At 43.1% G+C, this 11,593-nt stretch overlaps 1 annotated feature.

Moving 5' to 3' along the window:
* Window positions 1,256-2,455: an enhancer, noted in NCBI's record as "CDK7 strongly-dependent group 2 enhancer chr2:31652502-31653701 (GRCh37/hg19 assembly coordinates)". NCBI's record gives its function as "activates an origin of replication core promoter dependent on BRD2, BRD4, P300/CBP, MED14 and CDK7 cofactors, with strong dependence on CDK7, by STARR-seq in HCT116 cells {active_cell/tissue: HCT116}" and the evidence as "EXISTENCE:reporter gene assay evidence [ECO:0000049][PMID:35650434]".

Below are 11,593 nucleotides of genomic sequence, written 5' to 3'. Positions count from 1 at the left end.
CACAAGTGATAGGAAGGAGTACTTACTTCCACAGTTTGGCCCAAGACAGGCCTCACAGGAGGAGTTCGTGCTCTCTCTCTCTCTCTCTGCCTGCTGGTGGTCATTGCTGTGTCTCAATGTGGGATTCAGAACCTTTTCCCTAGAAGGTGCTGAGAGAACATCATTACTTTATTGGTAGGTGCACACGGCCAGGAAGTCTTTGGGAGAGTGGCATAAAATACGTATAAAATACTGCCAAGCTCCAACTTCTGCTTTCAGAAACACTTCTTGATACTTGCTCTAATCCTGGCATTAACAAACATTGTCTTCTTACAACCACCAGGTAAGGAAACTATTACTGTCTCCATTAAATAATGGGGACATAGGGTCAGAGAGTATAAAGATCTTGCCAATGGATGCAGAGCTAGTGAGTTGTGAACCTGAGATCTACAAACATTTGAATTCTTGCTTCTTCTTCTTCTCCTCTGTCTCTCTATCCCTTCCATTCTGTATGTTACTGAAAATGCACAGACCACTACTAATCTCTAATATCTCCTTCTCTAAATCTCATCCCTAGGATCTTTTTCTTTGAAAGCTCTTCCTTCTGGTCTGGTATTGAAGGATATTTTTCAGTCTCCTGAAAATAGTTCCTTTGTGACAAAAATTAGTTCTTACAAGTGTAATGGAAGAGCTCTGAGAGGCAAGTTTTGGAGTCAAAACAGCAGAGCCTTCTTTCCCAATTCCTGTCGGTTACTCGGGCATAGGTTGTGCCAGCAAAAACAAGCTTCGGGCCCCCATAGGAAACCAGGGAGGCACAGGGCTCGGTTGGAGCTGCTGGCTCGAGACCTTCCTAGGTATCACCCAGTGTCTATCTGTGTACCACAGGTGCTGCAGAAGAGAAAAAGCCTGCTGCAGGCCCCTCTCCCCAGAACGTGTCCCAGAACTAATTGTAGGTGATGTCTCCTGAGTCAAAGAGCACACCATAATTAGGGGGACATGCTGGGGCTGCCACAGACATCCACATCTTAGACGGTGCCACCCACTGTGCCTGCTGGCTGCTGCCGTGTCTTTTCTCAAGCTGATCTACCGGCTCTTGATGGTGACTAATTGTCAGCTTGTGGTTCTGCTGGACATTTCAAGGCCTGTCATAGTTGGGCCTTGAGGAAGCTCCTGGTGGAATTTTGAATGGCACACCTGAGTTCTGTTAAGCTTTGTACAGAAGCAGTGTCTTCCCACCCTTTCCTTGCTGTTTCCTCTCTTTTCAGTGGGTGCTGACAGGAAAGGGATGGATCTCCAGGCCCTAATTGAGGGAGAAGGCGGGTTCTGTGCACGTGAAGATGAGTCTTTAATTTAGGTCAGACAAATGACTGATTTTTGCAGTTGATATCTGACTCTCACGCCTTATTCTTTAGCTCTGGAAAACTGGCCTTCACAGACACAAGTTGGTATTAATGTAGGTATTCCTTATCTGGTTCTACAAATGCTGATGCAGCGCCATGCTTCCAACACAATGTAAAAGTGAATCATAGCTGCCCCACTGCACGGCTAAGCAGTAAGGGACTTGAGTGTGAGACCTTTGCTTCCTGAAGGGGCAAAGAGGAAACCTAGGAAGAGCTTTGAGAGGGGAAAAGCAGCAAGCAGAGGGGCTTCTCCTTTCTCAGCGGGAAATGAGAGAGAGTGTCTCACTTTCCAGGGCTTTTGGTGGAGTTGGGGAAGACAAGTCCATGGTCTGGCCCATTCTCAGTGACTTCTTGCCAGCACTGACTCACCTGGCTTGTGTAGAATTAAGTTGGCATCATGCCACAGGAAACCACAAGGCCACAGAGGTGGGCAGGAGTGCCTGGCTCATCCTCCGTCTGCTAGAATTGGTTTTTTTGAACTACTTTCTGACTTCCTCCTTCATCTTCACCGAGACCGCTTTTCCCACCTGTCCCTTTCTCAGCCCTTCCTTATGGATTCATTTGTCCATTTCTGGACTGCTTCCTTCCTTTAGCAAGCATTCTTTCCAAATCCCTTCAGAAGTGTTCCTTGTGAGATAGTTTCCAGCAATCATTGCCCTCAGAGGTTGAAACCTTGAGTCACTCCCATGTGACCTCCCGTTTTCTGGAAAGTCCTAGTTCACTTAAGCCAGCATGTCCAATGATTGGGGTTTATTTAGGTGGAACTCACTTCCCTGTCCCTGGATTTTCATTGTTGATTGTTGTGGTTTTGTTTTTCACACATTGGGGATTTCCTTCCTGACTCTTCCTTCTTGGCCCCAATCCACTGCTGATTAAATCTCTGTGTGGATCCTCCACCAGGCCCTGCATCAGCTGCTCTGTCGTGAGACCCACCTGAGTGCTCAGGTCTGAACCTCAGGGATCTAGTGGAGTAGAAGGAGTGCTGATTCTAGAACTAACAAGTGGGCTTCAAGTGAAAGTTCTGCTGCTTCGTCACTCTCAGAAACTATTTCTTCAGGAGAAAATGAGACTTACAATATCACATATATGAAGCTGCCATGAATTGATGTATATAAATAAACAAGAAAACCATATTAAACCACAGTGCATGGTCATAACAATGGCGAAGAGGAAGAAAAAGGAGAAGAGTGATGAGGAGAATAAGCACAAGACGACTTTCTCTTCCGGGTGAGAGGGAAGCAACCTTAGGTAGACTGTTTGAGAAGAATCAGTGGCTTTTCTTTACTGAGCAGAAGTCATTGAGCAAGTATTTACTGACCACTACTACATGTTAATGTGGATTCAAAAACAAGTAAGATCTGGTTTCTGTGTGATATGCCATAATAGACATAGGTATAAAATAACAATGGACATGAATGAAAGACCAGTGAGTTTCCCTAGGTGTGGTTGTGTGGGGAGTCCAAGGTCATAGGCTTTTAAGAGCTGGTTGCATTTAAGCTGAGCTTTACATGATTTTATTAGGGGAAAGGGAGTTCTAGGCTGAGCAAATGACCTGGGCAAAAGCATTGAGGTGTAAAACTGGCAGTAAGTTCAGGGAGCAAAGAGTAGTCTATTGTGGCCAAAGATGGTTTGTGTGGGTGAGGTAGTGGGAAATGAGGCTGGAAGGTGGGCTGGGTCCACATGGGTCCAGATGGCACAAGCTTGTGTGCTGAGGCCAGGGCGGGTTGTGCTGGGCTCTGTGAATCCTCAGTGCCTTTGGAGTCCTTCTGTTTGCATTGCTTTGAGTTTTAGGAGGGATTTCCCCCTAAACTGTGCATCTTTGCAACTTCTCAACATCTTTCCGTCCTCCTTGATTGTATTTATTCAAGCTGTGGGAACAGTACCACTTTCCAGGCCCTCTCCCACATTTGCAGGGCTCAAGGCAAGGGTACAAATGGAAGCTCATCAGCTAGGTGTTTTCATTCTTAACAGTTGTAAACTAACTTTAAAAAATGTTAAATCAGAATTTCTATGCTCCTCACTTGACAAGTATACTTTCATAATAACCCTGAAGATCAGGTTATAATTGATCATTTTCAGACTCTCCAGAAAACTGGTTTCCCCTGTCCTCACCATACTGTCTCCCCTCCCTAACTTGACTTCTCATCCCTAGCTTTGCCCCATTCTGTGACAATCCTCTCTCAAGCACATGGGTGGATAATATGGTCCACATATCTAAGGTATGCCCACTGCCCCAGTCGTCACCCCAGGGCACCTAGAGATATACATCTTGGGAGCCAAGTGGTGGACATACCAGAAGCACAGGTCCCCTCTGCGGTGATAGGCCAAGGGAAATGGCCAGACTGGGCCTTGGGAGTGAGCTGGAGGTCACTGGGCAGGGGCCCTGATCCACGGGGAGTGCTGTAAACAGAAAGTGACATAGGCTCTGAATGGTCACATTCCGTAGGCGCAATGAACTTCTCACCCAGTGGGGAGAGGCATAGCCACAGGCATGCCAGAGTAGAGCCCTCTAAAGAGCAGACCCAGGGCAGAGCCACCTCTTGTCTGGGCCTCCAGGTGGGGCTGTGAGCCACTTCTGTCTTTGGTGAGTCCACTTTCAGAGTTACTGGGCTGAGTTGGTAGAAGCATCAGACTTTGTCAGCAGGAAGTGTTCTTATCACCTCCATTTCCCAGTGGATAGAGAATGCACTCTATCCCTTGGTGGACAAGAGTCTTAGGATGACAGTATATTTTGTCATGCTACAAGAATATCAAGAAAATTTCAGAGGCTTACGAAAAGGAGGATTACTCAAGGATATTCTATATTAGGAAATACTGGTTCAAACAGTTACATGAAAACGACAAGCACAGTCTGGGCATGGTGGTTTACGCCTATAAGCCCAGCACTTTGGGAGGCTGAGACATGTGGATCACTTGAGGCCAGGAGTTCAAGACCAGCCTAGCCAACATGGTGAAGGCCAGGCTCTACCAAAAATACAAAAATTAGCCAGGTGTAGTGATGCATGCCTGTAATCCCAGCTACTCGGGAGGCTGAGGTAGGATAAACGCTTGAACTCAGGAGGTAGAGGTTGCAGTGAGCCAAGATTGCACCACTGCACTTCAGCCTGGGCAACACAGCAAGACTCCATCTCAAAAAAAAAACAAATAAAAAACCACAAAATGGACTGCAGAACTTTCATAATCTGGTATTATACTCTTTTCCTTAGCATTCCAGCTATTCCAATGCTGGACAAGTGGGAATATCCTGTAGCATGGACCCAACTTGCTCAGAAATGGGTGAGGATCAGATGGTGTGAATAAAAAGGCCACCAGAAAGGAGGATGCAAACACACCACACATGCACACACACACACACACACACACACACACACACACACACACACACACACAGGTATTATGTCATAATATCCATAAATGTTAGAGCTGGAAGGGTCCTTGAAGTTTTATAGATGGGAAAGGGGCTTGCCAAAAGTGACAGAGAGAGGAGCAAATCCTTGGCTTTCACCTGAGTCTCTCTTTTCCTAGACTGGGACTCTTTCCATGGTTTCATCACAACCTCATGTTTGGTTCCAAAATTCTCTAGACCAGTTAAATGGGGCCTCTGTCTGTTTATAACAAAGGCATGGAGAGGCTGATGAAATTTTTCCTAGGAAGAAGTACTCTCTTTTTCTCATTTGTCCTGAACAAGTTCACAATCTTTGCTTACAGACCCACCATTGAAGCACTCCCATTCAGCCCCAGGCAAGGCAATCCATGTATTTCCTGGGAACTGCTGCTTCACTGGCACCGCAGTCATGGCTATGGGGCCATGGGATGCATTCAAGGGGCAGCCAGCACCCAGATTCTTGTCACCCCAGTTCCTACTTCCACATGGGATTCTTAGAATAATAATGATGATCAGATGGAGATGACGAATAGGGGAAGTTTAATACAGTGACAATACCGATACTCATCAAGACTAGAAAATTATAGTTGCCAGATCACTAGAATTATTGACTATTCTGGTCTGGCTACTTAGCTGCAGATGGAAGACAGCCAAGAATCACAGGGAGAGGAAGCTTGACCAGGAGGCCATGAGCTGATCCCTGAGGTGACTATGGTTGCCATTCTATGTTTACCATTCTTTATGCCTGCCCCTCCTCTGCTGCTCTTCCTTCAGGTCTTCTGCCTTCCCTCTCTTCTGCTATTGTGCTAAGTCTATCGATTCCTCTGCTCAGATCCACAGACGTGACATATGGAGGGTCAAAACCTTCCCCATTGAGATCCATCTTCCTTCCATGTTTCAGGGAGCTTCCAAGCCACCAGGGACCACTGATTTCCAGAAGCCCCTGGTCCTCCTGAGAGAATGAGGAGCAAATCCAAGCACTGGGCAGACCCTGCAAGAGTGCCGCGCCTTCACCCTTCTCTGCATATCCTGGGCTCAGGGACCCGGGGGGAGTTGGCAGTGGCTAACAAGTTCCGTTCCATCTGCTGCTTCTGGCAGAGTGGACCTGGAACCTGGGGCCCTTCTCTAGGTCTCCCCGAGCCAAACTATCAAATGAATGACAGCTAAGATTCTATCGATTTCCCACCGTCTGGTTCTTTTCTTTCCCTGTGACATTTTTACACTCTGCATTTTAGTTTGGGTTTGCAGAATTTCACAAGATTCTTGTTCGATTTCCTTCCTCAAAGCACTTTATTGTGATTGTAACATTAAAAACAGAGAAACAAACCACGTCCATGAGTTTTTTTAAGACAGGCCTGAAAGCCTTGGAGCCTGCTGTGTCACACTACACGCTGTTTCATCTTCTACTCTCCTCACTCTGATTCTTCTAAGGCCAAACTTTCTCACTGCTGCTGCCAACCCTGCGTTAGTGAGACTCAATGAGATGGTTTTTCCTCTGCCCCCCACGCCTATACAGTGTAAAGGGGCCATCCTGGATGGTGTCCAGCTAGGAAAGCCCAGCCTCTGCTCTCTATTGCTGTCAGAAGATTCTAGAATCACAGGGGCTTGGGTTCGAGTCTTGATTATACCTTACCAGCCATGTGACTTTTTGTGACAACTTCTCTGAGTCCAGCCAGCTTCTTTATTTATTAAAAAATGTATCTCTCTCATAGGGATTTTTTGAAAAGTAAATGAGATAAATATGGAATGCCTGGCACATATTACACTCTTAATAAACTTTTGTCCTCCTCAAACTGTCTCTCACTATGGAGGTGATTTTGCCTTGGCCAGCAGGCTGGAGGCCTTCTGGGGAAGCATTGAAAGCAAGAACTTGTAGTCTCCTAAAAGAGCTTTAAGCTACTTACTAGATCAATAAAGAGATATGAATGTCTTAATTTACCCAATCCTCATAAAATGCACCAAAATAAAGCTAATGATACAAGAAATCCCCTTAAAATTCTCAACAAGGCTTGCTCAGTGTGCTGAGAGGCAACTGTGTTATTGTAGCTCATGAGATAAAATTTATGTTTCAGAAAATGCTAAATATTATGTCATGAACTTTCAGAATTACTCACAAATAGCCAAAATCTCAAATATTAACCCATAAATGCCAAACATCAACTTACTTTCAAAGCTCTGGAGAAAGGGGCAGACATTTTCCAAAAGTGTGAAAAAGAGTGGAAGGAAATGTCCCATCAGTAGAAGACAATATTGGCCAGGCATGGATCAAACCACCAGTAAGTGATTCCTGCAGTAGGGAAGACTCTATGGAGAAAGTCAGTCCAGTTTCCATTTCCTCTCCTTGAGTGTTGGGAAAACTAAACTTACTCTAGAGAACAGATCTGAGGTTGTCAGCTTGCCCTCTGTCCCTGATTGCTTTGGGGAATATGCTCCTTTTGGGGGTTATATGCCTAGGGATGCAAACAGTAGTTTAATGGACTTCTTTTTGCAGGAGAAAAGAGGTTCTTTTCTTTTTAAAAGTAAAACAAAGAAAATAACAGCATTAACGATACTGAGTTCCTGTGGAGAGTTCCAGTACAAGAACAAATTTAGAACAGGAACAGCAGGTGATCTTCCTGTAGCCTTTTGTGCTCTGAATTGACTTCTTAGAGTCCATTGTAATAAAACTAGGAAGTTGGCCCAAGCGATCTGGAGGAAGTGCTCAAATTTTCATATTACACTTATTTCAAATATATCAATATATCAGCCTGCATTTTGCATCTGTGTTAGGCCATTCTTGCATCGCTACAAAGAAATACCTGAGACTGGGTAATTGATAAAGAAAAGAGGCTTAATTGGCTTATGTTTCAGCTCTGCAGGAAGCATGGTGACAGCATGTGCTCAGCTTCTAGAGAGGCCTCAGGAAGCTTTTAATCATAGCAGAAGGCTAAGGGGAGCAGGCACGACACATGGTGAGAGTGGGAGCAACAGAGAGAGAGGGAGTCTCCACACACTTTTAAAAAGCTGGATCTCATAACTCACTCGCTATCATGAAGACAGCACCAAGCCGTGAGAGATCTGCCCCCATGACCTAAACACCTCTCACCAGGCTCCACCTTCAACACCGAAGATTACATTTCAACATGAGATTTGGGTGGGACAATTATCTAAATCATACTAGCATCCTTGCTCTGGGGAGTGGTGAAGTTTAGGAGGGTAAGTAAAGAGCTTGGGTTCAGTTTTTATAATGTTGGCTCATGGTTTATTTCTAAGATACAGTAAGGATACACTTTAAGCCTCTTTGTCCCTAGAGTTTACTCAGTGCCCAGCATAGTGCCTGACATATGTCATATGACGGAGCCTTGTTATGGTTGATCAGTAAATGGATGTGTAAATATTGCCTAGTGTAGAAGTTGCTCTGGAATCCATCCTTAAAACATAGTATGGGAATGGGGACACTTAAGGTTGAAGACCTGGGGATGAAAATAAGTTCTCCTAAGGACCTAACACCTGTTTGTGGTATGAATGGATGAAAAAGGGAAGTGATCAAATGAATGGTTCCACTCAGGTGTGGATTAGAGCCACAAGACAGAAAAGACTCAGATGAACTACCAAATATTTGACCTAGGAGGGACTTTCTAGACAGCATCAAGTTCAACTCTCCAACATCAGGTAGGAGGAAACCCTGAATAGTTAAGTAGCTAGTTCAAAGTCATCCAGCAAGTTAGTGTCAGGATCAAGATTCAAATGAAGGTCTCCAGTCTCCTAGTTGGGTGATCTTTCCACTACACTGCCTTTGCAACATGAACGGGATGGCTTGAAAATAAGAAACAGAAATAAAAGAAACACTTTATAAAAAAAGAAAAGAAAAGAAAATAAGTTCTCCTGAGGAGCCTATGAACCCCAGTGATACCATTTGCACACACAGCTTTGCATGAGGGCCAAGCCAGACATTTGAGCTATGCTCCTTTGCGTTTAACTAAAACCTGGTTCTGATATCGTTTTCATTCATTCATTTGTTATTCAACAAATACTTCTTGAATATAATAGTATGCCAACCATGTCCAGGCAGAGTTTAGCATTGAATAAAACAGATAATATCTCTGCCTTTGTGGAATTTATTGTATTAGTGAATGTAATACTAGAGGCAATAATAGATAAACCCAGAAATCTCAGTGAGCAAGCACAATAGAAATTTATTTTTTGTTCCTGTAAAGTCAATAAGCAACAAGGGTAGGGGGAAATGTTCAGCTCATTATATTTATTTAAGCACTTGAGTTTATTGAAAGCTCTGCTGTCTTCAATTTGTGACTTCCAACGTCACCCTGGTCATTGACATCAGTTGTCAGACAGTAGAAAAGACAGAATGGGAGCCTGGGCATTGTACACATCAGTTTTACCCATATTACATTCATCAATATTCAATCATGTGGCTTTAGCCACATATAAGGGAGCTGCAAAATGTAGCTCCTGGCTGGATAGTGACTTCCCAGCAGAAACTCTTCATTAGAGAAGGAGAGCATGAATATTTGGTGGGAAGATTGACATTCCTGCCACATTTACGTTCTGCTGGGTGCAGGAAGACAGACATTAAACATATAAGTGAGTGCACTATGTATCATTTCAGATGATAATAGTAAAAATAAATCAGGGGAAGGAATTAAGGGTGCAAATAGTCATAATAATAATTTTCTCCAGTGGCTACTCATTGGTCTATATTGTCTACAGATCACATGTGAGTTGATCCTTGAATAAGTGAAGAGGTAAGGACTTACTTTCCTGAATTGTGCAAGAGCAGCTCAGAGTGGAAAGAGAAACTTTACTTTGTCCAGCTAGCCACCAAACCCACATGGTCGTTGCCACACGTGACTCTGTGGTGACAGACTTTATTGAGTGAAAAATACATTATAAAAAACATAAGGATGATGCAGACAGATTGAAGTGGGTTTACATTTGCTTCGAGGGCCTTTTCTATTCCCTGGGCCTTTGTGTATTTGCAGTGAAGACCCAGGCTGAAGTTTACATGCTTTTAGTTTTGACTGTGTCCATTTTTTTTTATAATCTCATCTTCCTAAGAGGATTCTCCCAGATGTGTATTTGCTTGATTGATTGATTTCCTCTATAGTAATGAAGTAATGTGACCTTTATCTTAAGGAATACTAGCTGGTTAACTAACAAAAGTTTAGTTAGAATGGAACTGGTAAACGAAGTTAAATGATGCTGAGAATCTATGAAATGACGGAAGAAACTTCTGTGTTTAGTAAAAGGCAGACGCTTAGATATTTGTGAAAACATAACTCATCCCTTGCACTGTGGACACAATTCAACAAACATTTTTTGATGCTTCTATAGATCTGGCTCTATGCTAGGCACCAGTGAAACAGTGGTAAACACTGTTCTGCTCCTAATCTCAGGGGCCCACTATCTAGGCAAGAGAGAAAGACACTTTACCAACCAGAAAGCTGGATTTCAGCCAGACTAAGAAGGGCCATAAATGCTATGCTAACAATCCTGGTTTTACTAGTGAAGAACCATCAGAGAGATAACTTTTCTGCTGGGAAATGGGTGACGGATGTAGAAACTGGCATTTGCTTGTCGTGCGACAGTTGGCAAGTCAACCTCTCTGACTCTCACTTGCTTTTGTCTGAAAAAGGAAGATAAAAATAACTTCCTTACTTACCTCACAGGGCTATTATAAGGATCAAATGAAATCAAGATGTGTGAAAGAAATGTTATTCATAGTCAAGAACTATTATTAGGATTACTTAATAATATAGATGTCTGAGAGAACAAAGGAGTATTGGGTGTTGAGTAGTAATGCTCTGAGAATATGGCAAAAATCTTTCATCCAGAGTGGAGCATATGTAGGAGTGAAACCAGTCTTGGTTAAAAAAATCTGAACAATGGAATATATTGAAAAAACATTTTCTTTCTTTTAAAGTAAACTTTGTTGTAAATAAAGAAAATGAACAAGAATGCCCTTAGGTTACAGACAAGAATGTACATCTGGTTGAAAAGAAAAAGGACGGAGCAGACTGGGAAGAAGCTGCTGCAGAGGCAGGATAAAGGCCAGCAGTGACTTCTAAAGAGAGCTAGAGACACAGCCAGGGCACAGAAGGCCAGGGCATGAATTCAAAAGCACTAAAGTCTCCACAGATGCTGGTCTAGCTCTGACCAGCCTTTCAGGAAACACTCCATAGTCTTTCTTGAATCATCTTCTTCCAGGAAGTACTTGGCCCTGAGGGAGCTCACTCTTCAAAAAATAAGTTATGACTCTTGGCAGCATTTTTACTTTTCTTATCTTTTATGATTTCCTGAAAGTGTGGCTCCCACTGGGAAGAGGTCTGTGTCCAGAAGGCCTCAGGGCTTATCTGGATTTTCTATGAATTTTAAAGCCTCACATGCCAATGCAGTGTATATTAAAAGCCAAGATATCTCTTAGGAGAATAAGGTAAGTTAATGTAATAAAATGTACATCACAGTTGGTCTATTACCAGGTGGTAAAATTCCATTACTTCAGCCAAAATTTCAGAATTCATCCTAATGTGAAAAGCATATACAGTAGATATTCAGTATGGAAAAAGTTCTGACTTTAGATTTTTTTCCCTTCATTTATACTATTTTGAAAAGTACCAAAGAAGAGACTGATGTCAGCAAGATGGTGGAATAAGATTTTTCAGCACTCATCCTTTTGCAGAAACATCAATTTAAACAAATATCTATGCAAAAAAAAATGCCTTCACAAGAGCTAAGAATACCAGCTGAGAGATTATAGCACCTGGGTACAGCATAGAAATGAGAAAAGATGCATTGAAGAGGGTAGGAAGAATAGTTTTACATTATCTGTGTT

Source organism: Homo sapiens, chromosome 2, assembly GCF_000001405.40.
Source record: "Homo sapiens chromosome 2, GRCh38.p14 Primary Assembly".
NCBI classification, from domain to species: domain Eukaryota; kingdom Metazoa; phylum Chordata; class Mammalia; order Primates; family Hominidae; genus Homo; species Homo sapiens.
The sequence above is the reverse complement of the archived record's forward strand: the minus strand, read 5'-3'. Positions and strand labels throughout refer to the sequence as shown.